At 48.0% G+C, this 27,909-nt stretch overlaps 1 protein-coding gene across 3 annotated transcripts in view, besides 5 other annotated features; it reads right to left on the bottom strand.

Moving 5' to 3' along the window:
* The window catches only part of TCERG1L (transcription elongation regulator 1 like), a 219,331-nt gene that overhangs the window by 168,889 nt on the left and 22,533 nt on the right, over positions 1 to 27,909 (bottom strand). The gene's annotated exons all lie outside the window — the stretch shown is intronic.
* Positions 789 to 1,288: an enhancer, noted in NCBI's record as "H3K4me1 hESC enhancer chr10:133060331-133060830 (GRCh37/hg19 assembly coordinates)". NCBI's record gives its function as "activates a minimal SCP1, AML or CMV promoter by ChIP-STARR-seq in naive H9 embryonic stem cells {active_cell/tissue: H9 hESC(naive)}" and the evidence as "EXISTENCE:reporter gene assay evidence [ECO:0000049][PMID:30033119]".
* Positions 3,245 to 3,745: an enhancer, noted in NCBI's record as "H3K4me1 hESC enhancer chr10:133062787-133063287 (GRCh37/hg19 assembly coordinates)". NCBI's record gives its function as "activates a minimal SCP1, AML or CMV promoter by ChIP-STARR-seq in primed H9 embryonic stem cells {active_cell/tissue: H9 hESC(primed)}" and the evidence as "EXISTENCE:reporter gene assay evidence [ECO:0000049][PMID:30033119]".
* Positions 16,078 to 16,593: an enhancer, noted in NCBI's record as "H3K4me1 hESC enhancer chr10:133075620-133076135 (GRCh37/hg19 assembly coordinates)". NCBI's record gives its function as "activates a minimal SCP1, AML or CMV promoter by ChIP-STARR-seq in naive H9 embryonic stem cells {active_cell/tissue: H9 hESC(naive)}" and the evidence as "EXISTENCE:reporter gene assay evidence [ECO:0000049][PMID:30033119]".
* Positions 17,993 to 18,636: an enhancer, noted in NCBI's record as "H3K4me1 hESC enhancer chr10:133077535-133078178 (GRCh37/hg19 assembly coordinates)". NCBI's record gives its function as "activates a minimal SCP1, AML or CMV promoter by ChIP-STARR-seq in naive H9 embryonic stem cells {active_cell/tissue: H9 hESC(naive)}" and the evidence as "EXISTENCE:reporter gene assay evidence [ECO:0000049][PMID:30033119]".
* Positions 18,637 to 19,280: an enhancer, noted in NCBI's record as "OCT4-NANOG-H3K4me1 hESC enhancer chr10:133078179-133078822 (GRCh37/hg19 assembly coordinates)". NCBI's record gives its function as "activates a minimal SCP1, AML or CMV promoter by ChIP-STARR-seq in naive H9 embryonic stem cells {active_cell/tissue: H9 hESC(naive)}" and the evidence as "EXISTENCE:reporter gene assay evidence [ECO:0000049][PMID:30033119]".

The following is a 27,909-nucleotide window of genomic DNA, read 5'->3' on the forward strand; positions in this document are numbered from 1 at the left end:
CATTTTATATGGATGGTGGAAACTTAGTCTGGCCAGCTCTGGACAGCAATTTGGAAATATGTTTCTAAAACCTTGATATAATTCACTACTCTTGATCTGGCACGTCCTGTCGTGTGACCCACCCACATGCCCAGTGCCTTAGGATACAGGTGTAGAATGAGGAGCTAGAAATATCAGCAAAAGCAGGACGGCTGCATGAAGGATGGTGCGCTGTGCACAGGACGGTCAGTGGTCAGCACGATTACATCAGGGAAGATCGTTAGTGCCAGAGCGAGGTCTCATGATACAGTAGGCAAAGAAAACAGGCTAAAAATCATATAGGTTCCTGCAATGTATCGTCATTCAGTCAACCAGTCTTTATTTAGCTGACAAGTGCCAGGCATTTTCCAGCAGTAGCTCTTTGGGACAGAGCAGTGAACAAAACACTGGGAAGGCTGGCCTTCGGGGAAGGTTCCTCCCAGGTAGGGAAGAGGCAGGGTGCTCATTCTTCTTGTTGATTTTCTGTACTTTCCAGGCCGGTGGGCATAGTGGGAAAGCAGGGAGAGGGCATCTAGCCTTGGTGTGTGGGCCTCAATTGTGACTGGGGTGGCCAGGAAAGTCCTCACTGAGAAGGAAAAAATAGGTAAAAGTCTGCATGAGGCAAGGCGAGACTCCCTGCTGACCCCTAGAGAAGAAGCAGGCGTGCGAAGGCCCCGTGGCCAGTGCCTGTGTGGTGCCTTCCAGGAGCTGCAAGGAAATCATCAGGGATGAGGTGCAGTGTTCGAGGCACAGCATACAGGGAGATGAGGAAGTGGGGGGTGAGGGGACAGCCAGGCTTTGCCGGCAGACATAGGCGGGGGATGACTTGGTTTTTACTCCAAGCGAGGCGAGCCACAGGAGGGAGCGGAGCCTGCGGAGCAGTGCAGAGGCCAGCTCTGAGTCTCAGCTGAATGTCTTCATCCTGCCTGCTTGAATGGGAACAGACGCGCAGGGGACAGCATCGCTTCCAGATGGGCTCAGTGCCATACCCTATAGAGTCCCTATTTCAAGGAAGACATCCAGGCTAGAGCTAGACATTTGGAGGCATATAGGAGGTACTTAACACTATGATGTCAGATGTGGTTAAAAAATAGAAGAAAGTCGTGATAATGAACATATCTAGATGGCAGAATTACGGCTGATTTTCTCTCCTTTCTTTTGGAATTGCCTATGATGAGCATATACAGCTATTTTAAATTAAATATAATTTGTTATAGAGCAGCTTTAGGTTTACAGAAAAAATGGGTAGAAAGTAGAGAGAGTTCCCTAATGGATGCCTCCACTCCCCTCATTGTGAATATTTGGCATCAGCGTGGTGGGTTTGTTACAGTTCATGAGCTGACAATGGCACCTTATTAACTATGGCCACGGTGTTCACTGGGGTTCACCCTTTGTGCTGTGCATCCTATGGGTTTGGACAGAGGCATTGTAGGATCATACAGAGCATTTTCACAGCCATTGTACCACCACTGTGGTATCATACAATGCATTTTCACAGCCCTAAAACTCCCCTGGCCTCCGCCTGTTCATCCCTCCCTCCCCCTAGCCCCTGGCAGCCGCTGATCTTTCTATGGCCTCTCTAGTTTTGCCTTTTCCAGAAGGCCATTCAGTTGGAACCAAATACTATGTAGCCCTTTCAGACTGCCATCTTCCGCTTGGCAATATCCATTTAAGGTTCCTCCATGTCTTCTCATGACTTGATAGCTCATTTCTTTTTATTGTTGAATGATACTCCATTATCAGGATGTGTCACAGTTTAGAAGCACAATTGTTGGATTTTATGGTAAGAGTGTGTTTTGCTTTTTAAGAAACTGCCAGACTGTCTTCCACGGTGGCTATGCCATTTTGCATTCCCACCAGCAGTGAATGGGAGTTCCTGTTGTTCCACATCCTCAATCTGCATTTAGTGATGTCGGTGTTCTGGATGTCGGCTTTTCTAAAAAGTATGTCATGGAATCTACTTGTTGCCATAGACAGATTTGAAGTCAGAAAAAACTAAGCACTGTTCAAAATATATCATCTTAATAATAACACACTTTAGAAAATTTATAAGATAAAGTAATTATGCGGATAAAAAGGCCCCTCCTGAACTCCCCCACTGAACACTGTCCATCTTTTGTTATATTGCAGTTGTTTGGCCTGGCTGTGTTGGAAACGTATCACAATCACACCACATCTGTGGCTTTTTCATGAGATGCTATAAAATGAACACTTCCTTTATCATTACATGGCCTTCAAAAGTCCCACTATGAACCACAGCCTTGTATTCCAAGGAAGGCACGTGCCCCATACATTTGCCATATTTTTACCCACCTCCATCGTAATAGGTGCTGTTCTGATAGATAACGACGACATAAACAACCGTCTGCAAACAGGTTCATTTCTGTATTTATTGCTATGCAGTAGACTGCAGGGTCCAAACAGTGTAAGCATGTGTCAGTGTAAGGAGGGAATTTTCCAGAAGTTTTGATGCACTAGAAAGCCCTACACAAATTTATTAACAATGGCTTCTCCCCTTAGGATCTCTGTTTGCATGCTGCCTCTCCACAGCTGTTTCCACTGGAATTTAACCACTTAGTAGTTTCATTTAACCTGCTTAGTGGGCCTCTGAGTGAGCGCAAAAGTTAAAGTCCTTGCTGGGAAGTTATTTCCAGTTGAGGAAGGAAAAGATGGTATCAGAATGACCTGGAGTTTTCCAAACCCCAGGAACCACTGGGAGCCCCCAGAAGGGCAATGGGTGGGTGGGACGGAGGGAGGGCTGAAACACGCAAAGCCCCTCAGCCACTGATAACATCCCCCTGCACTCCCCCTCCCCCCACACCCCTTTCCTGTGCCCAAGTCCTGCCCAGCCAGAAGCTTCTCCCTGGTCTCAGCCCAGGCTGACCTTCCTGCCGGGGATGCTCTGACTCTCATCCCTGAAGCTCCTCCTACCCAGCAGAGAGGGACTGGGGCAACACACCCTGCCCTTGCCACTTAGCAGCCCTGCCAGAGCACAGGTGCAGCAGTGCTGGTGGTCAGGCCCAAGCTGTGGGCTCCTGGGTCGGGAAGGGGCTGTCGAAGACCACCCACCCACAGGAAGGAAAGGTTGGATCTCTATAGGGTGTGATACGGGTGCAAACAGATACAGAGAAGCCATACAGCTTGGTACTTAGTATACAGATTTGCACCTGAGGAGTCGGGCTCCTGGTTCAAAGCCTGAGTGTGATACTTTGGGCCTGACCTGAAGGCTGCACTGGGCAGGTCTCAGGGGGAAGCTGCGTCCCCACACCAGGCTCTTGCTTAGCCAGGCATGGCAGGCTTGAGGGAGCAGCAGGGAAAGGCTCGGGCCCTGGGGCCAGTCACGCTCCCAGCACATCTGCACCCCTATCTTGGGGACACCTTCATTCTCAGGTCTCATTATCTGAGGCCTTGGGCAGAGGTCCTCCAGGTGTCTCTGCTAAGACCTCCGTGTTGGCGGGGGAGGGCAAGAGCTTAAAGCCACCTCCACGCTCTGACTCAGTTCCCAGGGAATTCCCGCTCCAAGCCTTTCCCAACTCCATGACTTCAGGGCCCCTAAAACTGCAGGAGCCTTTTGTTCAGGGCTCCCTGACAGCGTGAGGGTCCCACGTCTGTGTAGATCACTCTGGCTCTAGACCTGTGTGCTGGTCAGTGAGGGAAAGAGAACGGGGAGTCGACATGTCCTCCGACTTCAGACTCTTGCCTGTCCCAGCCGAGCCCTTAATTAAGAAGACAGGACCAAACTTCACAATCCTGGTGAGAAGCCACCGAGTCCATTTTTTTTAACGAACTCAATCTGTTGTTTGAAATGAAGATGGCCTTTCATAATGAGTGAAAAAGCGACTGATGGTGTTTTACAAGGAACAGATACTAAGGTGAGAGTGGTTTGTATATGGAAGTGAGAAAATGTGTTTACCACCATGTGATTTTGTTGCAAAAAATCATGGGTCAACTAAACAGAAAAATAAATAAGGAAACTTTCTTATCTGTCTCTTTAAGAAAAATAAACTTGAAAATATACTTTTTAACCTGCTCTGAGATCATATGAAATTTTAACACTCTGATTCATTCACAAAGTCAGCTGAATGATATCAGTGAAGACAGAAAGTTAATCATATCAACAGAATGATTTACATCATTGGTAGATGAGATCGAAAGAAGAGGTCCTGGTATTATCATAAAACTTCTGCCCAGCTCCAGGCCCTTGTGAAGGGTGAAGTTCAGTCATGATAACCATCGGAATTGAGTACCAGCAAACCTCAGAGATAACGTGGGTTCAGTACCAGACCACCACAATAACGCAAATATTGCGATAAAGAGAGTCAAGTGAATTTTTTGGTTTTCCAATGCATACAAAAGTTATGTTTACACTATAGTGTAGTCTGTTAAATGTGCAATAGTATTATGTCTAAAAAATGTACATCCCTAAATTTAAAAATAGTTTATTGCTAAAAAATATTAGAGATCATCTGAGCCTTCAGCAAACTGTAACTCTTTTGCCAGTGGAGGGTCTTGCCTCGATGTTGATGGCCGCTGACTGATCAGGATGGTGGTTGCTGAAGGCTGGGGTGGCTGTGCCAATTTCACAAAAGAAGACAACAGCAACGCTTGCTACATTGATGGACTCTTCCTTTCAGGAAAGATGTCTCTGTAGCATGCAATGCTGTTTGACAGCATTTTAGCCGCAGTAGAACTTTCAAAATTGGAGTCAATCCCCTCAAACCCTGCTGCTGCTTTATCAACTCAGTCTATGTAATATTCTAAATCCTTTGTTATTATTTCAACAATGTTTACAACATCTTCACCAGGAGTAGATTCCATCTCAAGAAACCACTTTCTATGTTCACTCGTAAGAAGTAACTCCTTATGCGTTAAAGTTGTATTTGAGATTTCAGCAATTCAGTCACATCTTCAAGCTCCACTTCCACTTCTAGTTCTCTTGCTGTTTCCACCACATCAGCAGTTACTTCCTCCAAAGACGTCTTGAAACCCCTGAAATCATTCATGAGAGTTGAAATCAGCTTCTTTCAAACTCCTGTTAATGTTGATATTTTGTCCTCTTCCTATGAATTATGAATGTTCACGGCTGCAGAATGGATGTTGTGTTAGCAGGCACGAAAACAATTCATCTCATCCCCATGTGACCAGGTGCGTTGTCAATGAGTAAAAATGTTACGAGATCTTTGGGGTGTTGCTTTTCTGGCTGGAAACCTCTGTGGCCAGTGGCACCTTGGTCTGACTTCTTGAGTCCAGAAAGAATGAGGTACACAGACAAGTGGAGGGTGAGCAAGACAAAGAGGAGCTTTATTAAGTGTTAGAACAGCTCAGAGGCTCTCAGCAGAGAGGAGGCCCTGGAATGGGTGGCTCCTCTCTGCAGGCAGGTCATCCTGATGAGTGTTCAGCTCTCAGCAGAGAGGGTAGCTTCTGCTGCAGCTGGTCAACTGGACATCTGTAGTTCTCAGCAGAGAGGAGGCCTTGGAGAGGGTAGCTCCTCTCTGTGGCTGGTCGTCCCTACATCTGCTGCTCTCTGCAGCTGATAACTCCTCTCTGCAGCTGGTCATCCTGGCACCTCTCTGTCCTCTGCTCTGCTCTGGCTGAGTCTTTTATGGCTTTTATGGGCCTCAGAGGGGAGGAAGTGCCTTCCAATTGGTCCATGGGTGGCCATGAGAGGGCCTGGAAAAGGCACAAGTCCCTACTCCAGTCCAGAGGACTGGCAACCGGCCCCCAGCCTTCAGGTCCTCCCTGGCCTGAAGGTGCATCCTCATCTGGAACCCACTCCTTCACACCCAGGAGCCCGTCTGCCTCCTGCCACCACTCATCATGCCCAGGCCGCTTGCACCCAGGGGTACCCGCAGGCCAGTGCTGAGTTGCCACCAGCCCCGTCTCAGCCTCCCACCTGCGCTCATTGGTGCCCAAAGTCCAGAGAATCTGAGGCAGCAGGGCACTGCACATGAGCACTGCCCTGAGTGTGCACACACCTGGCTGGACTGCAACAGCACCCAGGCTTGGCCCCAACCCTACTCTAGGATCGGAGTAAGCACTGGAAGCAGGGAGAGGCCAGGCAGCAGGAGCAGATACCCCCAAGCCTAAGCCCTGAGAGCATCGGGAGGCCCAGGCCCACAGCTGCAACCTGGGTGGCTGCAACTGAGCCTCGGCAGCTCCCACACTGCCAACTTGAGGGGGGTCATGGCTCCTGCCTGTCCCAGCTCTGCAAAGTGAGCAGACCTGGCTGTGCCCTTCTCTGCGTCTCCCTCTGCCGCAGTGGTGGCCCTTGCACAAGTGAACCCGATGTTCCTGGGGCTGGTCCCATGAGTCCTGGCTGCAACTTTGGCCGGGTGCTTATGGGCTCCCAGGACATGGCAGAGTGTGAGGTTGAAGCTGTGGCAGAGGCTCCAAGCCTCGGAGCAGGTCCTGCCCAGCCATGCAAGGGTGGAGGTGGCACAGTTGGCTGCCTTGGGGACATGGGGCACAGGGAACCCCACTGCTGCTCCCACCACCAGTCCTGCTGCCCTGTCCACCTCCTTGCAGACTTCGGTGGGGGCTCCAGGGCCTTGCCAGGCCCGTGCCAGAGTCGAGGGCAAGGGTGATGTTGCCACAAGTTCCCCGGGGGCCCTAGTGCTCAGGGGTGGTCCAGGGCTCCCCTTTGCCCAGCTCACAACCCTGCCAGGGTTGGCTCCTCTGGGAGCGAATTGCAGGCCCTGGGCCCAGCTGCCAGGAGTGCCAGGCTCAGCAGTGGGAGCAGTCACTTCTGAGCCTGTGGGGGGCAGGGAGGGATTCCCAGTCCCCTAAGACCACGGGAATGCCCTGCTCCATAGCCGGCCTTGAGCAGCTGCAGTGGTGCCCAGGGAGGGCTGGGCTCCTGCCTGCTCTGTGGAGTGGAAGACCCAGCTGCACCTCCCTGCTGCAGCTGGCATCTTGGAAGCAGCCACTCTAGATGGACTGCTGCTGCCATTCATAATATTTTGATAGGAATCTTTTTTATTTTTATTTTTTCTGAACAGTAGGTCTCAATAATGGGCTTTAAATACTCAGCAAACCATGCTAGAAACAGATGTGCTGTCACCCAGGCTTTGCTGTTCCATTTATAGCACACAGGCAGAGTAGATTTAGCATCGTTCTTGAGGGCCTTAGGATTTTTTGAATTGTAAATTAGTCTTGCCTTCAACTTAAAGTCACAAGCTGCACTGGCCCCTAACCAGATAGTCATCAGTCCTTTGAAGTTTTGAAGCCCATCACTGACTTCTCCTCTATAGCTATAAAAGTCCTAGACGGCATCTTCTTCCAATAGATGGCTGTTTCATCTGCATTGCAAATCTCTTCTGTAGTGTAGCCACCTTCATCGACGCTCTTAGCTAGGTCTTCTGGATAACTGGGTGCAGCTTCTTCATCAGCACTTGCTGCTTCACCTTACACTTTTATGTTATGGAGACAGTTTCTGTCCTTAAACCTCATGCATCACCTCTGTTAGCTTCAAACTTTTCTTCTGCTGCTTCCTCACCTCTCTCAGCCTTCACAGAGTTGAAGACAGTTAGGAGCTTGCTCTGGATTAGGCTTTGGCTTAATGGAATGTTGTGCCTGGTTTGATCTTCCATCCACACCATTAAAATTTTCCCCACATCAGCAGTGAGGCTGTTTCACTTTATCTTTTTATTGTTGTTGTTCACTGGAGTAGCACTTTTGATTTCCTTCAAAAACTTTTCCTTAGCATTCACAACTCAGCTAACTTGTTGGTGCATGACACCTAGTTTTCAGCCTATAATAGCTTTCAACACGCCTTCTTCACTCAGCTTAATTATTGCTAGCTTTTGATTTAAAGTGAAACATGCCACTCTTCTTTTCATTTGAAAATGTAGTCGCCATTGTAAGGGATTAATTGATACAATTTCTATTTGTTTGTTTGTTTGTTTTTTCATATGGAGTCTCACTCTGTCACCCAAGTTGGAGTGCAGTGGCATGATCTCGGCTCACTGCAACCTCCGCCTCCCAGGTTCAAGTGATTCTCCTGCCTCAGACTCCCGAGTAGCTGGGATAACAGGTGCCTGCCACCATGCCTGGCTCATTTTTGTATTTTCAGTAGAGACAGGGTTTTGCCATGTTGGCTAGGCTGCTCTCAAACTCCTGACCTCAAGTGATCTGCCCGTCTCAACCTCCCAAAGTGCTGGGATTATAGGCATGAGCTACTGAGCCCAGCCTCAATTGATCTAATTTCAATATTGCTATGTCTCAGGGAAGAGGGAGGCCCAAGGAGAGGGAGAAGGATGGGGAAAGGCTGGTTGGTGGAGCAGTTAGAACACACAGGACATTGATAGATTAACCTCCCCATCTTATACAGGTGAAGTTTGTGGCTCCCCAAAACAATCACAATAGTAGCATCGATTATCACTGATCATAGATCACCACAACAGACGTAACAATACTTAAAAACTTTGAAACACTGAGAGTTCCCAGAATGTAACAGAGACATGAAGTGAGCACACGCTGCTGGGAAAACGGCACCCACAGACTTGTTCCCACCTGGGGTTGCCACAAACCTTCAACTTGTAAAAACACACTATCAGCAAGGCACAAGAAAGGGACGCACAATAAAGAGAAGTGTGCCTGTGCCTACTGGGCAGGTGAAGCCTCGCACCAAACCCGCAACCCACAGAGAGCCCACGGAGCACGGCAACCCCACGTGCACATCACAAAGGCAAGAGGAGCGCACTTCAGGAGGATATCCAAATCCGTTTACTGATAAACATGCAACGGTAACACAAGGAGCCCAGTGTTGGGAAGAAGAGGTGTGGGTTGCTTTGTGTTTTCCTTCCTATGTCCTTCTCTGCACCCCACAGTCAGACATTTATGAAGCCAGATGGCACCTGGCTCTGGGACTGGAAAGATGATATAACGTGGGCACCCAGGCAAACAGAAGAGTGCCTTTGGGTAGGAGTTGCCTGAGGATACAAGCCAGGAAGGGCGCAAAGCCAGCCAGAGCCTGGGGACGCTAGCTGCTCCCCTCGGAGACGCCTCCTGAGCTGAGTTTGAAGAGCAGCAGGCACTCAATACACTGCATGGACGGATAAATACCATAACTAACTTTCCCCAAAGGACCACAGGGAATCCCGTAGTTGAGTAAATAAACAGTGAGATAAGACAGGTCCAGCCAAAGAAAACTGCTAAGCCAGCTCAGAGATAAGCCAGAAATGCTATCCCACAAGGATGGCTTATAAAAATCAATATTTTAAGCAAAACAGTAATTAACCATGTGCTTCCCTTGAGGGCAGGTTGAGGAGAGGGTGCGGAGCCAACATCTCCAGAAAACCCACATGTGCTTGATGCCCAGCCCCGCATGGCTGCTGCCGTTGCTGGCGTTTGCATTGTTATTGCCACTCCTACCTTCTTCTCTGATTATCAAACTTGCAAAAGAGTTTTGGTTGCATGTTTTTTTTCAAACACTTCCTTTAATATCCACATGCAGGCAAATGTCCATTGTCCCTGTGTGTCGTGGGAGATATCAGGCTTGGCGAGGTTTGTCGAACCTGCACAAAGGCCCGCGGTGATGATGGTGCCGACGTTCCTGTTCCAGTGTATCTGGCCTGAATCCCACCCTGCCAGGCTGGGGCCAGGCCCCCTCCCCACACTGGCTGAAGTCGTGCCTCATCCATCTGACGCATCTGAGAGGAACAGGGCTTCCCAGAGACTCTCCTGGGCCTCACTAGGTCCCACCCTGGGGCCGAGTGCACTGAGGCATTTGGCTGGGCTCCACATCGTGACTTCCTGAAGACCCCACTGGCCTCAGCAATACCAGGAGGGCAGCCCTGCCACCGCCTTCTCTGCTCAGAGGCAGACCAGCTGTTGAGATGCTTCCAGAACCTGCCTCCAGAACCTGCCTCCAGAACCTGGCACCCAACCAGCAGCTGGATTTGGCTTTTCCCGGGACTCAGTGAAGAAGAGGGACAGTAGGGTGGGAGCCCGGTGCAGTGGCAGGTGGCTCCAGAATATCAGGCCTAGTGAGCCAAGCCCCACTGTGCCGGCTCAGCACACCCACACGCAGCTGGGCGGCTCTCCAGGTTTTCTCTTCCTCTCTGGGCAAACCCTAGGTAGGAGCCAGCCTCAGTCCAGAGGACTTCCGTCTCTCCCTGCACTCTGCAGAGGAGGTGCCCACAGAAGGCACGTGGCTGGAGAGGCCTGCTGACCCCAGCCAGACCCTCCCTGCCTGGCCCAGGCATCTGACCACTCTGCCCAAGGGATGCTCACCCAAAAGGAGCGTGCTGGCGTCATGGGCTCTGGGACCTGAGGCTTGGAAGACTTGTCAAAGACTAAGCTGGGAATTATGCCCGCCGGTGGGATGCAGAACAGATAAAATGCTAAGCATTTGCCTTCTGCATCTTCACCAGAGATCAGGAGGAAGGCCAGGACAGATCTGCCTCTGAGAATGCCCATGTGGAGGGAAGGCCTGGAGGCCTCCCCGAGGGCAGAGGGTTTTAGGCAAAGCCCAGGATGGCTGGTGAGGGTCCCTGTGACCGGAGACTGAATCTGACAAACACCAGCTGCCATGCTGTCTGTGCTGAGCAACCCATTCAAGAAAACAAACAACCATTAGTTTATTATGCTTGTTTAGCAACTGATTTCAGCTCCAGTGGAAATCCTTCAGGCGCTGTAGCTACCAACTGTACCAGAAATAATGGGTAACCATTTCTGCAGAAATGACTCTTTGACCAGGACAGTGACTTCAGGCACAGAAGACAGGCCCAGCAAGCTTCACAGGGAGATAAGCCTGGGTCCACAGCAGGCACACGGGGCTCTGACAACACGGTGGGCAGCGGCGGAATGAGCTGGTGCAGGGACTCCGTCAACAGCACAGGTCCTTCCCTCCGTGTCCTCTGAGAACACCGTGTCTTGCGCCTCCACACACAGCTCCACACACAGCTTGCAAGAATCAGGAAATCCATCAGGAATTAACTATGCTCCTTGTGGAAGACCAGCGCCAGGTGTTTGCATATCTGACTGAGGCGCCCTGCAGATTCAGGACACGTGCGTTTGAACTGCTGTTGGATGAGGTGGCCAGCATTTGCAATTTCTGGTGTTTGTTGTTCTGGTTGTTTTCTGAAAGGCATCCAATGCCTGCTATAGTTGCAAGTTTTGAATGTGCCAAATAAATAATCCTACAAACTGGGCTGGATCATGGTCCAAGCTCCACGGGCCCCTTTCATCTCCTTGCCATGTTAGGTGTTTGAGTATCTGGCTCTTGCTGGGTGGTGGAGTCCCCAAGGGCCCCCACCATTCTTTCCTCCCTACCAGCCCTGTGCCTGGGGACCCCAGTGCTCAGGAAGTGTCTGTGTGGAGCCTCACCTGGCCAGTGGGAGAGATGACCCTTGGCAACCCTTCCTGATCCTCCCACACCACAGCCTGGTCTGTGAACTGTGCCGTCCAGCGTGGATGGGGGTAGAGCCCTTGGCAATCTCCCCACAGCAGGGAAGCTCAGGCCCTCAGTGCTGCCCACCCTGCCGGGATGTGGAGGCATGAGCCGTCACCTCAGCAGGCTCAACACACCAGCTTCCACGGGACCTAGAGGTCACAGAGGCTCCTCACCCCGGTTTCTGCATCTGTGGGGTGGGGAGAGTGTTGTTTAGAGGACCAAATGGACAAGGTGCCCAGCCGGGAGCTCTGTAGCTTCCCTGTCATTTGAGGGTGATCTGGCGCCTTTGCTGATGGGGAGGGTCTGTCCATGGAGTGAGGCTTTGGAGACTGTTCTTCAGACAGAGCAGCAGGGAGTTGGGGTCCACAGTGGAGTGGGCCCGACCTCACCCTCAGGCCCGGGGCGCCTCACTCAGGCAGCGCCACCTTCCACTCCCCGCATCCCTTCCATTACCCTGGCCTAGGTCGGGTCCCTGCCCCATGGCAATGGGTCCTGGACTCCCAGGGGCTGCCCGTGTAGACAGCCTGGGACCCCCATGGTTGTCAGGACATAGCCTGGATGGCCAGAATGGAGGCCCCAGCAGTGACCACACACAGTGGTGATTCTCGGGCAGTGTCTTTTGGGGGCTCGGGCACATCCAGCTGGCCTCCTCCGTGGGTCTGGAGTCACCAGGAACCCGGTTCCCAAAGCACTCGCCTGCCTCCTGGAGAGTCCCTTGGCCAAAGCCCCGGGCTTTGCTGCCACAAACTCAATGTGGAGCCTGAATCTCTGCCACAAAACGCCAAGGAAAAGTTTCTGAGGAATGAGGCTTTGGGAATTGTCATTTAAAAGGTGACTCTCAAAGTGAAACGCAGTGGTGGGGGCTGACCCCAATGGTGGGCCTCAGCTTTCCCGCCTCCATCCAGGCCCCTGGGCTGACCGAGGCTCCCTCATTTGCCGAGAGGAGGCTCCAGGGCGGAGGGCGTCATTTCCCCCAGAGGAGACGCTGCCCACACCTACCCCATCTTCGCAGTGGGTGGCACTGGCCCAAGGTCTCCAGAGGTCACTCTGAGTGCTTCCAGGAAGCCCCAGGGCCAGGCTCTGGGCTTCCAAAAAGGCTCTTGGAGCCAAACGGAGCTCTGGTGAGTGCTGGCAAGTGGATGCCGGGAAGCCCCACTTCTCTAGGAAATATGGAAATAACAGGATTTACTCAAAGTGAAAGTCAGGAGTGAGAGAGAAACTATTCCCCCGTGAAAAGCTTCCCAAATTGAAAGAAAATAATTTGTCAGGGAACATGTCACAGGAGAAATGAAACTGCTTGCTCAGGTCTGTTTTCTTCTCTTCTGTTTGGTTGAGAGAGGAACGGGGCCTGGGCGTGTGATGGAAGCACCACCGCCGTCGAATGTCTGCTCAGCGCCCAGGAGGAAAGTGTCCTTCCTTTTCCTGCTCTGCTGTCTTGCACACAACTCATGGTCATTGATCCCATAGACATGGGAAAGGAAAGATTCTCGTAAACTACATTTCAGAAAATATCCACATTTTCATATTCTAAAACGATCATTCTGTTTCTTCAAAATGAGATTTAGCAAGCAGAACGCAGCCTTTGGGTGGCGGATGGTGCCTGCACAGCCGCTGTCCTCCAGAGCGGCACCTGCTCAAGGCAGCCAGGGCCAACGCCATTCCCAGCTGCACTTGTTCAGTTTTGCTCAGCATCCTATGGCCATGAAAACTGAGATCAGCCGACGTATGAGTCTTGGCTTTAGGACTCTTTCTGCCTCTCCATCCTTGAAGGAAGTGTGAAGGTGACTTTCCCAGGCACATCCCTTTCATTTCATCTGCGTGCCCCTCCTCTGCTGACATCACAGGTCTGTGCACCAAGACTGCTTTGCAAAGGGCTTCTTTCACTCCGGTTGTTTCGTTAAAACCCCCTTAGGGCCCAGCTCCCCCAGCGCGAGGCATTGCTGCTGCATGGCTTGTTCATGATCTGGCTCTGCACAGGTACTCACAGACGTCAACTTTCCCCAAGCTTCCTCCCAGGCCCCAGGAGGGGAGGACCCACCTGACCCCTCACATTGCCCTTGTGCTTTTCCAGCTGAGCTAAGCCCAGGCCGTGTGACACCGTCCCTTGGCATCACCGCTTCGCTTAGCAGCTATAAAAAATGTGGAAATGGCCCCATCCAGTCTGCCTGCCTCCATCCACAATCCCAGTTCTGCAGTTTGGATTGTCACATCAGGTGGAGTCAGGCAGGCTCGAGATCTCAGAATGGAGCCTAAGGCTGTGGGCACAGACCTGGAAGACCCCTAGGCCCCACATTATATGACTGATGCTGACTCCTGATCCTGATCTCGGGCCACTGACTCCTGATCCATACTCAAAGGTGCCCACATTGCCCTGCTCTCAGCATTGAAGGGATGCAGCCAAGGTTCACCCTGTCCCTCCACCCCATGACACAGTGCCTGGCAGCCGGGCCTCCTCCCACAGAGCTAAGGAGCTAAGAGGTGCAGCTTTGGCATATGTCCACGGAGGACCCTGATGATGTAAGCTCAAAATGTCACTGGGCCCCACCGCATGGGTATGAACAAGCAGCCCTGCTCTCCACACACTGGACAGAATGTCTAATCGAGTCACCGGAGGTCTACAAGCATGGACATCACTCTCCCTGCCTCAGCAAAATGGACAGGTACAAGGCGAGAGTGTGGTACTCTCACTAAGAACGGAGAAAATTCACTTAGCTTTGTACGTCAGTTTAGGGATACTAATGCGTTGTTATTATTGTGATTTCATGTAATTTGTTGCACAATAATTTGAATATTCATTTTATTATAACTAGAGATTAATGACACTACCCAGGAGAACAGATTGCTGTGAATACCTGGTAACGTAAATGTCCTGATTAAGGAACCAGATCAGAGAGGGAGAGAGGGGGAAAAGGCAAGCAGCAGTTTCCATCATTAAGAAACAATGGACGGGTTCCCTCAGGTTCCAGAAATCACCCCTCAAAACTTACCCACGTAACCAACACCCATCTATACCCCAAAAACTACTGAAATAAAAAAATTAAAAATTATCTTTAAAAAGGAAGAATGGATGGTTTTAAAGTAACTTCCAATGAGCACCAGGAGCCCAGCCTTTCCCCCTGTGCCAGCATCAGCTGGTGGGGCAGATGGCAGTAGGCTCTCTGGAACTGGAGATCCAGCACAAGGTCTGGACGTGGACGCCTGGGCATGACAACGTGCACGCACCCCCAGGTTGGCTCAGAAGATCCCTTTGCCTCCCCCAGACTCACTTTCTATCAGAATCTGAGACATGCCTGCCTCCACCACACACACAGAAACTCCTCAGGCAGGATCCTGCTCCAAGGCCCATACTGTGTATGCAGCAGGTGCTTAACACATACATGTTAATTGGGTGGCTGCTAGACAGCATTCTCCTCCTGAAAGATCTATTCAATGTGTGGCTTTCATGAATTAAAAGGGTCCACAGCTTCCTCAACTTCCAAGGGTCCTCCTGATATGGGGTTACCATGGGGGGAATCCAGCAACATCCCTCTAAGTACAGTCCAGAGCGTCCATCTGTTGCTAAAAAGATTAACCCTTTGCCCTAGAATATATGTGTTTACATCACGAAAGCTACAGCAGGCAGATTCTATTCCCAACCAGCAGCCCAAGGCTTCATTGACCTTGAGAGGAGGACAGAAGCCTATTTGTTTGCACAACAACAAAAGTTTTGTGAAGAGGTTCTTTAATGCATTAAGCAAAACTCCGCTGTTTATCATCAGGCAGCTGTTTTCAAACCACTTCATTATGTTCAACACACACGCAATTTACACTCACCTCTCACCTGCCTCGTCATATCCCTTGGCAGTAACAGAGCACAGGAAATTATTCTCAGCCCATGTCTCTCTCTTTGGAGATGCATTTAGACAGCGATGCAATCAGCCAGCTGACAATTTTCAGGGATTCTCCTGCTTTGCTGAGTCTATCTTGGTTATGAAATTAAGATGATTAAATGCCTCATCAAGATACCAAATATGCTTTTCTCTACACCACCTGCCAGGGTGGGTTCTGTTCCTGAATCTTCCCAAGTAAGTGCATGCTGCTTCCTTCCATGACTGTCCGGGACGGTAGACAGGTCTTCAGTGGATCGCGGATAAATGTGTCCACACTGATGACTTTATTCCTCAAAACCCAGACACTCTCCCAGGAAATAGCCACTGGACCAGGATTCCCTACAAACTCCAGAATGAATATGCGCAGTATTGGAGAAGGAAAAGCTAAGACAGAAATGCTCAGAAAAACATTTCTCATCATATGTAGCTGCTGTTGAGTTGTCATGTCAATATGACATAGCAAGACGCGATCATGCCTGTCCTTGCAGAACTGCTATCCTAAGCGAGACGAGAGTTTGAGATTACAGAATCAAGGCATTGGTGGGGACTGAGGAAAACAACATCACCACTGAGCTAGGAGCTGTGAGGAAGAGCAGAGACCGGGCTTGGGAGGGCGGGGCCACACTCAGAACTGTCTGCTCCTCCACCCCACGAGTGAATGGTGACCATGGAGGTCACAGAGGGCTTAAAGCTGGAAGGTGGATTGGCGAGGTTCTGGAACTTACAAAGGAGATGTGAGTTCATTATGTGAACCCAGCCCCTGGACACTGAAGATTCCTGACAGTGCACGCCCACCCCAAAGCTCTAACAACCGGAGCGGTCACTGCAGCTGCCCAGATGGACAGCCAGGAAATCTCCCGCAGGCCTGCGCCGGGGAGATAGTGGCCTGGCCTAGACATGAGCCACAAGAGAGGGCCGCTCCCCACCTCCTGGCGAGCACACTGATGCCCACAGTCATGTCCACAAACTTGGCTGCTTAATGACGTTTTTGGAACCCTCCCAGACGCAGGCACTGTCCAGCAGACGGCCCTGCCCATCTGGCTCAGGTTCTCGTCTGGGGAGCAGACCAGGGACAAGCTAACAGAAAGCTTGAGGGTGCAAAGTCAGTGTTGGAGAGGACAGTGCCCATGGCAGAAGGATAAACACAGAGGCAGGCATGGGCCTCTGAGGTCAGGTCTCAGCGCAGATCTCAAGGAAGCAGGGATGAGCCCTGAGGACATCTGGTCAAAAGGTGCCCGGAGGAGGGCACAGTGACTGCCCAGGCCCCAGGCAGAGGCCTGGAGAATGGAAAGGAGCCAGTGGCAGGTGCCTCCTGAGCCGGGAGAGCCACCGACTTGGGAGGGAAAAAGGCCAGGTGACCAGAGCAGGGGGCTCAGGGGCCATCCTGAGCTCTGGATTTCATTCCGCATGTGGGGAGCTTCAGCCACTCCCCAAAACAGGGCTCTGGAGGGAGGAAAGTCTGAGGAAACCCAGCAGGCTGTGGGAGATGGAAGCGGAGGGAGGCAGGGGCTCCCGGCTCCTGCCTCCCCCCGGGCCCACTGGCCTCAGGAACAGGAGAACTCAGATTGATCTGAGCACCGGTGGGGCTCCTTCACCTGACTCTGAAACCCCAGGCAGAGCCACGTGACCCCGGCCGAGTCGCATCCTCTCCTGGATCCTGCTCGGTTTCCTCACCTGTAAAATGGGGCAGCGATGCTTCTAGAGTTCACTGGTGAAGATGAGACGAGGCCCCCCCTCCTGTCCTCTCCCCTTGAGCTACATCGTCTTTTCTTTTTTCTTTTTTTTTTTTTTTTTGAGACAGAGTCTTGCTCCGTCACCCAGGCTAGAGTGCAATGGCCTGATCTCAGCTCACTGCAACCTCTGCCTCCCGGGTTCAAGCAATTCTCCTGCCTCCGCCTCCCAAGTAGCTGGAATTACAGGTGCCCACCACGATGCCCAGCTAATTTTTTTTTTGTATTGTTAGTAGAGACAGGGTTTCACCATGTTGGGCAGCTTGGTCTCGAACCCCTGACCTCAGGTGATCCACCCGCCTCGGCCTCCCAAAGTGCTGGGATTACAGGCATGAGCCACCGCACCCAGCCCACATCGTCTTTTCAAGACATGAGAACGATCATGTCTCTTCCCTGCCGCGGAGTCACTTCCTGCCAAGGCTGGCCTGGGGGGTGCCCTTTGCTGTTGGTGTCCTCGCCTGCCCAGGAGTCACCATCAGGCCCTTGAAGGCCCCTGCTCTCTCCCATGCTGGGGCTTTGCAAGGAGGAAGTGCTCCTCCCTCCCATGGGAGCTCTCCTGGGCTCATGGGGCCTCGGGTCCCCTGAAAGTCCTCCCTGATGACTGCTGGACCCCCACAATCCTCCTGCATGGCCTTCAACCCCACACCTCCCTCCGGGCCCTTCTGCTGCCACTGTGTGTGCCAATCACATCTGTTTGAGAAAGTCCGTCTCCCTCACAGGCCCCCAAAGCTCCAGAAGCCCGGAAACCTTGCCTGATGGGGTTCAGCTCTTTCCTTCCTGAGCCTAGTCCAGCCTCACAGCTGCGTGTGCCCCTCAGGCAGAGACAGGGCTACCTAGTTCATGGGAGCCCTAGATTAGATGAGATGACCACAGGGAAGGCCCCGATACAGTGCCTGGCACACAACTCATCAGTCATTTTCCTTTCAATTCCAAGCCGCTCTAAACATGGGTTGACTTTACGAAGGGACAGAGGAAAGGTGAGAGGGGGAGGAAGGAGGGAGGGAGGAGAGGGAAAAGGCCTGGGCAGGCAGGTGGGCAGGAGTGTAAGACGCTCAGTGCCATGCGTTGCCTGCAATTGACAGTAAGCAATGCTGCTAACCTTCATGACTGTTTAGGACAGTGGATGGGTCTTTTCCAGTGAGCCCATTCCAGGCTTCACATCATGCCCGGAGTCTCTAGGACTTAAAGCCCCAGCAGGGGCCAAAAAAATCTAGCCTCATCAAGAGCCAAGTGACAGAACCCTGGAAACAGTGACATCTGGCGAGACAAGCTCCTGTCCCACCATCCAAGGCGCCCAGATGAAGAGAAGACCATGGGCCATGCTGGCCTGCAATCCAGAAAAACAAAGGAGAGAGAAAGCTGAGAAGGATCTGGAGGAGCACAGGCCACCCAGCCGCCCGGTGAGGATGGCCACACCTCCAGCAACCCTTGACTGAGCCAGGGAAATGTCCCCTAAACATCTGTAGGGATGGGAAACGCTTCCGGGCTTTGGTGGGTGACACTCACGGATGCTGAGACACCCATAGCAAACCCTGTGAAAACCACCCATAGCTCCTCACTCTGCCTTTCGCTGCAAAGGTCCAGCTACTCTCTCGGGGGCACACCCTCCTCTCAACAGCAAATCCCACAGGAGTGACAGGTGAGAGTTTCTCCATGTGGAATGCGACCCAGCAGAGCCAGCCTACACCCTTTCGTGAGCCCCGAAAATCAGAGAGAGGTCTCAGTTAATTTAGAAAATGTATTTTGCCAAGCTTGAGGATGCATGGCTGCGACACAGCCTCAGGAGGTCCTGGTGACATGTGCCCAGGGTGGTCAGAGCAGTTTGGTTTTACACATTCTATACATTCAAAGCCAAGGTGGGAAGACTGGAAGCAGGAGGGGGCTTCCAGGTCATGGTAGATAAGAGAGGAATGGTTGCATTCTTTGAGTTCCTGATGAGCCTCTCCAAAGGAGGCAATCAGACATGCACTTAACTCAGTGAGCACAGAGGTGATTTTGAATAGAATGGGAGGCAGGTTGGCCCTAAGCCATTCCCAGCTTGACTTTTCCCTTTAGCTTGGTAATCAATCAACATATGCAAGATGAACCTTGGTTTGGTCTGGAAACGAGGGACAACCCAAAGCCAAGTTGGGAAGACTGGAAGCAGGAGGGGCTTCCAGGTCAAAGGTAGATGAGAGAGGAATGGTTGCATTCTTTCCAGTTCCTGATGAGCCTCTCCAAAGGAGGCATACAGAGATGCACTTATCTCAGTGAGCTGAGTGGTGATTTTGAATAGAATGGGACGCAGGTTGGCCCTAAGCAGTTCCCAGCTTGACTTTTCCCTTTAGCTTGGTAATTTGGGGGCCCCAAGATTTATTTTCCTTTCACGTTTCAATATGAAGCTACACGACTCATCTGTGCCTGCCTAAGATGTGCACACACACACACACACAGACACCTGTTCTCTGTGGTTGTGCTTCCTGCAAACAACCACATGTATACCCAGGTAGTCTCAGAGATGCACCCGACAGGCTCAGGGTGGACAGCTCTGAGCCTGCACCAGCATCCCCACCACCCCAGGCCAGGCCCTCCTGGGAACCCAAGCGACTGTCCTTTTCGTCTGTCAGGTATAAAGTGAAGAAATTTTGCTATCCATGGAACCTGATCAAGCCTGTGGCCGCACCTTCCCCCTCTGACTCAATATTCATCATTTGACCTTTTAGAGTCAATCACAAAATGTCATTTTTAAAAGGCATTATTCAAGTTATCACTGTGGTCCACAGTGAAAATTCTTTTTCTCTTATCCAAAGCCTGCATCAATGTTTATATGCCTCTTTCTCATAATCTCAATGGCAATAATCTACTAGCAACAGTCATTAAATTTCCCACTTCTATTGCAAATTGTACAATACCACGCTCTGCATTCCAAATCACATTCAATCTTCCTTTCACGAAACCAGCAGACATTGCCTGCATGTCTATCACGGCGGCCTTGCAGCTGAGCATGCTGAGGAATGCCCTGCACGCCCTGTGCTGCCCTCTGAGCGTGTCCACCGTGCAGCTTTGTCTGTATCACAGATCACCAATGCACATGGACTAATTAGATCAAAGGAGATTCAAGGTCCATCTCCAAATTAAAAAAAAAAAATCCATTGCAGTAAAGACAATGCTACCTGAAATGAATGCTTACTTTCCTCAAGAGTGAGCACCACCTTGTCCATATGAAAGGCATTTGTGCTGATGCAGGAAGGAAAAGGAAACTTTGAGTGAAGCCCAAGCCCCCAGATCCTTAGGGAAAGAGCCAGACACAAAGTTTGGCCACTGGGAGCTGCCTGTTTCTATTCTTCCCAAAGGCAAACCCTCCCTAGAGAGAATGCAACTGAACCTCCACAGTCCCCCTGGCTACTCTCCCGACGCTCCGTCCTAAAGTCCCTATTGGGAATTTCGTGTTCTTGTTCTTTAAAAGGACCCCTACCCATCACAATTTGTATACCAGTCAGGGTCCAAAAAGCCTGATCCGCCCCCTGCTTACCACCTCCAACACCTAAAAGTGAGGACTGCCTGAGACCAATGAAAACCCTTCTGGCCGGGCGCGGTGGCTCACGCCTGTAATCCCAGCACTTTGGGAGGCCGAGGCTGGCGGATCACGAGGTCAGGAGATCGAGACCATCCTGGCTAACATGGTGAAACCCCATCTCTACTAAAAATACAAAAAATTAGCCAGGCGCGGTGGCGGGCGCCTGTAGTCCCAGCTACTCGGGAGGCTGAGGCAGGAGAATGGCGTGAACCCGGGAAGCGGAGCTTGCAGTGAGCGGAGATCACGCCACTGCAGTCTGGCCTGGGCGAAAGAGCAAGACTCCATCTCAGAAAAAAAAAAAAAAAAAAAAAAAAGAAAACCCTTCTTCTGCAAAGCCACTTAGGAGGAATTTACCCAAATCTTCACCTCTGAAAGCACATCCAATAGCTAGGTATTTAGACCCCACGCTTTCAAACGTCTCAGAATTATATTGAAGTCACATTTTCAGGAATTCAAAAAAACCGTGTTATAGGAATTACGATGGTGACATGAATGGTGTTTTAGAAACAGACATTATTTTTTTAAGAGTCCTGATGCAATTGTTTTACAAAAATGTGTAGTGGTTGCTGATACCAAACAGGCAGATGGGAACTAATTCTTCCCTACAGAAACCAGCGAAAGTAACCTCAGCCATAGCACCAGGAAGACAAGACCTCCCTCTCTGAAAACTTTTCACTAGAAGTTGATTAACTTACTAATACAAGTTAATATACTAAAATGTTAACAAAATAAATGACTGTAAAAACCTGTGGAAGCAGGTTTTAAAAATAACCCTGCTTTGTTCACACCTCTATCCCCCCAGCACATATACCAGTACATGCTACAGAACAGGCACTCAATCATATCTGTGATATTGATAATTGATCGATATTTATCAAGCCTCTGTTATACCAGACACTTTGTCAGGCTTTGGAGAACCAGCAGAAAATGAGACAGACACAGAGGGCTTCTGCCCTCCAGGAATGTACATTCTTACCTGCATGATGTTACCAGAGTTTTAAAGGAAAAAAAAGTAAAGTAAGCTGAATATTTAATTTTTATCATAACATTACTTCTCATAAGTTCATTTCTTATGGGTCTTGACCCTAACTTTCTAAGAAAATTAAAGTTCAGGTGATATCTGTAATTCAGTAGGAATCTATTGAATCTATTGAGTTGCGTAATTTGAGGGTATATAATTTGAGACAAAAATGTATTTTCTCTTAGAAGAATATCTCTTATTACACAATTTTAGAGCTAAGTGCACGTAGGCTACAGAAGCTGAAGTGAGTCATGTCTGCCACGGTGCCGTGAGCAAGGTTCTCTGAGAGGCTCTCCAGCTACAGTGAGGAACGGCCTTAGACGGGATGCATTGGTACAGTTGCCAAAGGCTGATCAGGCCTCCAAGAAGTCGACTTCTTTCCATTTCCCAGGAAACCTGTCTTAGGTCTCCCTGAGAACCAGGCAGCAGTGACAAAGGAAGCTGAGCGCAGGATTTTAGAATGAAACAGAAGCTTTGCCTTCACGGGGGACTGGTCTGCTCCTGGGTTGATGGTGCCCCTTAGTTCTGCAGATGCAAATGTAAGGCTTCCTTAGTGAAAAGCATAACCAACTGAGCTTACTGAAGTTCCAAGTATTAAGAGGAAATGATAAGCTCAAAGTTAAAGAACACCGGATAAAGGAAGTAAACCACCATACAGAGAGCCAAAAATAACAAAAGACAAATTTGGACCCACAAAAATTAGAGATATAAGAATTTTCATGTATAAAATATACTAATTGTATATGAAATGTTTTCAAGAGGAGCAAGGACCTAGACATTATAATGAATAAAGAAAAACTGGAAAACGAAGATGATGAAATTTCTAAAGATTAAAATAATTGTTGAAATGTAAAACTTCATAGAAAGTTGAAACAGCATATTTGACATAAATGAAGAGAGACTTAGCAACTGGAAAACACAGCTAAAGAGATTGCTTAGAATGAGCATACAGAGCAAAGAGATAAACAGTATAAAAGAAAAACTGGCTGGGCACAGTGGCTCCCATCACTTTGTGAGGCGGAGGCAGGCAGATCACTTGAGGTCAGGAGTTCGAGACCAGGCTGGCCAACATTGTGAAACCCTGTCTCTACTAAAAATTCAAAAATTAGCCAGGCATTGCAGTGGGCACCTGTAATCCCAGCTACTTGGGAGGCTGAGGCAGGCAGGAGAATCACTTGAACCCAGGGGGCGAGGCTGCAGTGAGCCAAGATCGAACTACTGCACTCCAGCCTAGGCGACAGAACAAGACCACATCTCAAAAAAAAAAAAAAAAAAGAAAAGAAAAACTGAGAGATATCAGGCCATAAAACAAATCTCCACACATTTCAGAAGAATTGTTGTATACAGCCCACAGTTTACTTCAGTTACAAATGAATAACAAAAAGAAAATTTTAAATCTGCATACATTAGAAATTAATTGAATGGGAATTCCTTTAAAAATCATAGGATATAAAACTACAATGAAAATTTAAAATTTAAATATGAAACTGAGTGATAACAAAAATAGTACATTAAAAAATTTACAAAAAGCAGTGAAAATTGTATTAAAGAGAAAGGGATAGCCTTAAATCTTTTATGAAAATAAAGACATAATTAATGTGCAAATATACAACCTAAGGATTTAGGGGAAGAAAAAAAAACAACACATCTGAAGAAAATGGAAGAAAATTGAGATAAGAGCAGATTTCAATCAAGTTGAAAAATGTACCCAAAATGTTTTTAAAGATTAAAAGTTGTTTCTTTGAAGAACTAATAAAATGGACAAACCTCTAGTGGAAATGAACAAGTACTTTTTTTGAATGAGGAGGTGCAAATAAGCAAAACTATATATTAAAAAAGATAACTATTATTATAGCATATTAAAAAGATAAGTAGGTACAGAACAATCTCATACCAAAGGCAATTTGCAAACTTAGATGCAAGTATAAATTCTAGAAGAAAAATATAGCTTATGAACCCTACCAGAATAGGAAATAGAAAGCATGCATAGTCATATAACAACTAAATACATTGTATCAGTAGTTAAAAACCTTTCCACATAGGAAAGATGAGGTTCTTATATTTTAAGAGGAAAGTTCTACAAATTATTTTTAAGGAATATTCCAATCTAACATTGTAAAATTCTTCCAAAACATTAAAAAAAGAGGAGCCACTTCCCAGCTTCTTCTATGAATCCAGTATAGCTTTCACACTAAAGCCAGGTGAGTCTAGTAAAAGAAAATGAAGCAGCCAGTCGCAGTGGCTCACACCTTTAATCCCAGGAATGTGGGAGGCCGAGGCAGGTGGATCACTTGAAGTTAGGAGTTCCAGACCAGCCTGGCCAACATGGTAAAACCCTGTCTCTACTAAAAATACAAAAATTAGCCAGGTGTGGTGGCTCATGCCTGTAATCTCAGCTACTCAGGAGGCTGAGGCAGGAGAATCACTTGAACCTGGGAGGTGGAGGTTGCAGTGACCTAAGATTGCCCTGCATTCTAGCCTGGGCAATACAGTAAGACTCTGTCAAAAAAAAAAAGGAAAGAAAGAAAAGAAAGGAAGGAAGGAAAGAGAGAGAGAGAGAAAGAGAGAAAGAGAAACAAAGAAAGAGAGAGAAAGGGAAGAAAGAAAGAAAGAAAGAAAGAAAGAAAGAAAGAAAGAAAGAAAGAAAGAAAGAAAGAGAGAAAGAAAAGAAAAGAAAGAAAGGAAGGAAGAAAGAAAAAGAAAGAAAGAAAGAAAAAAAATGAGATGGCAGGGCAGCTTCACACAAGAACGTGGACTAAAGACGCTAAACGCTGTAATAGAGATAAGTGCAGCATTGTGTATATGAAAAGGGCAATTCAACATGAAGATTTTGGGTTGATTCAAGAAATGTAAGTGATTTAACATTATAACAGTTTAAAATATCATACACCACAGTAACAGATTAAAAAAAGAAAAATGTGGCTATCTTAATCTAAAAAGGTAAAACATTGAAAAAAATTCATCCCTAAAATATTATAACAAGAAATGAGCACCAGGAAACTCAGATGGAAGGAATGTTCTAAGCCCAGTGGCGGGTGGTTAAAACCTATAAGCATATTGAGAACAGGATACATTTGAAGCATCTGCTCCAAAACAGGACCAGCATGGGGTACCAGCCATCACTACCACATCACACACTGTACTGAAAGTTCTAGATAATCAATATAAAAATAATATTTTAACATTTTAAATTTTAAAAAGCACAAGAACGGAAAAGAAGAAAGAAATCTCACTCCTGAACATTAACACGTCCGTGGCTCTTGCACAGTAGTCTTCTTTTTGTCCCTTAAAACAGAAGAAATACTTGGACAACTTGGGTTAAGAGGCCTTTAAAACGTCTGGGAAGTTCTTATAAGAAAATGATGCTTAATGCCTAAGGAGTACTTAGGCACTGTGAATGTTTGGAAATAGTTGTTTCAGTGTATTTATGTTAAGTGAACTCTGATTCATCAGCTGGATTTTTAAAATTTATTAAAGATGGCATAATAATTTATAATATCATGGAAAATCTATATTAAAATATTAAGTCAGAAGTGACATACAAACCTGTGGTTACAATACCGTATTGTGTAAGGTAATGCACCCGCATACTAGCCTTATTTGTAAACATTAACTGGAGCTAGGAGTGACTTTTTTCCCTTCCTTCCGCATTCTAATAATTTATAAATGTTTCATATCTAACAAATATGAATTATTCTTATACTGGAAAAAATAAAAAGCAAATCATTTGTGTATATAAATACTATATAAGTGTACACCATTTAAATACCATATATGTAGCTTAAAATGGATCCTTTAGCTATTCTCATAAGATCAAAGAAATAGAGAGGTCACATTTGGGTTCCACTTGGTAACAAATGAGCATGAAGTAAATTTCTTTGAAATGCTGTCTTTAGGCCTCATTGAATTATCTATAAACTATACTCACAAATAGATCTCTGAGATCTTCGCAAATGAGCTTGGTTGTTATCTTCCGGCACTGCCGTTCCCACATGGGAGGCGTTAGCTCCATGTGGCTACAGAGCCCCTGACCTGGGCTAGCCCAGATCGAGACGTGTTGCGAATATCAGATATACACTGAATTTCAAAGATAATATCAAAGAAGGAAGGTAAATATCTCACCCATAACTTTTACATAATTACATGCTGGAATAATAATGTTCTGGATATATTGAACTAAATTAACAAATTATTAAAATTCACCTGTTTTGTTATACTTTTACAAACATGAGTGCCAGAAAATTTTAAATTCCATGTGATGTTAGCATTATATTTCTGCTGGAGAATGTTACTTTAGAATAGGTATCAGAGACGGGAAACTTCCAGTAAGAAGAAAGTAGGGGAATAATAATCTCACATTTAGATGCTAAAGTCCATAGTTGTCATGGAATTCTGACCTCTCCATACTTATTTTCTTAATAGTCTCAACACTAACACAGTGATTCTGTATCCTATCTGTAAGTTAGAATTTCAATCTTTTGGCAAATTGATTCATTATTTTGTGGCTTGTCGCTCACAAATTCAAGGAATATAATGGTCACCAGGACAGATTCCTAGTTGTTTAAAATGATATGAATTATGTTGGTAAATACAAATCTCACTTAATTTCATTACCTATGCAGTCTGCCCATTTTAGTTGATGTCTGAATAATTTGCCAGTGGGTCTGGGGACATAACCATTTTTTATATAAATGGCACCTTGAAGTACAGTCCAGATATAGAGAAAATATAAAGTGATCCAAAGGTCTGTCTGACTCACTAGATTACTTCCAAGCCAGTGTCCACCTCCTTGCCATCTAGAGCGGGCTTACTCAGGGAGCATCTATGGGAACGGTCTAAATAGGCCGGGCATTGCAGATACCACACAAGCAGCAGCCATTCACATCAATTATTAAAATAATCATAATGCAATTAACTCTTGCAATAATCTCACTTCACAGATGAGAACACTGAGGGACAGGGGTGCTCAGTCAACTTCTCAAGGTCAGGCAGCTGGCGAGTGACAGGCCATTTTGAACCCGGCAGTCTGTGGGCAAAGTCTGTGCTCTCAGTAATGACATGATGTCACTCATTCAACAACAATTTTAAACGATAGACTAGAAGGTGGCTCTGGACAAATGTTTTCCACACACAAGTATTTTTCTGACTTCTTCCAGATGGTGTAATTTACAGCACTTTTTTGGATGTGCTTCTCCATAGCTTTCTCTGGAACTGGGGACCTGTGACGATTCCAGCAGGACAAGAGGCAGAGCCTGAACCGGCCACCACAAGCCTGCCAGTCTCTGAAGGCTTGTCTGTGATGGTAAAATCAGTCTGTTCTTACATAACACAAAAGAAGTGTTTCTCCCCCCAACTCTCTAAGGAAAAGTGCAGATTCAGAATGATTTATCTGTTCATCCTACAACTTCAGAAACCAGTCGGAACCGGGCACCCAACCCGGTTTGAGAAACCAACCCCACAGTTTAATCTCCTAGTAAGCAGGTGCTTCCTCTTGACTAGGAGTAACTAACCACCAGCATTTTACTCTCCCACCCTCATCTCATTATGGTCACGTGGATGCAGACCTTCAGGTGGGACCAGACCGACCCTCTCAGGACAGACGCACTGTGGGATACCCGCTGTGCCGGGAGGTGGGTGCTACCACCCAGGGCCTGCCCTCCACCCCACTATCAACAGGGTTCTTTGCACGGAGAAAATGGAAGTCCCGTCCAGACATCAAGCTCTGTGCCTATAAAAATTACCTCGGAACGGGCCCTTACTTGAAGTAGAATCTTTGCAGATGAAATGAGTTAAGATGCTATCATGCTGGATGAGAGAGGGCCTTACATCCAAAGTGTCCTTGTAAGAAAAAGAGAGGCCACGCAGAGACCCACAGAGAAGGCGGCCCCGTGACCACGGAGACACAGAGGTTGGAGAATGCAGCTCCAAGCCAAGAACTGCCCAGGAAGGCAAAGGACACCAGGAGCCGGGGGAGGGCACCGGACAGACCCTCCCTCAGCGCCTCGAGCGGGAGCCAACCTGGGACTCAGACATTTCCACCGTCTGGCTTCCCAAGCTGAGAGGGAACATGTTTCTGTGAATTTCAGCCACACCATTTGTGGAATGTTGTTACCGCAGCCCTAGACACGGAATCCACTATGCATTCCCAAAAGTGATACAAAATTTCAAAAGTCAGGGTTACAGAATTATTAAAAGCTCTTCCTATTTCCTGACAAAACATGATTCAGATAAACTGAATTTTAAAAACAGATTGCTTCGCTATAGTAAAAGTCTTGATTTTTTTTTTTTTTAATCAAGCATCGCCTTAACACAGGCGTTTC

This window comes from Homo sapiens, chromosome 10 (assembly GCF_000001405.40).
Source record: "Homo sapiens chromosome 10, GRCh38.p14 Primary Assembly".
NCBI lineage: Eukaryota > Metazoa > Chordata > Mammalia > Primates > Hominidae > Homo > Homo sapiens.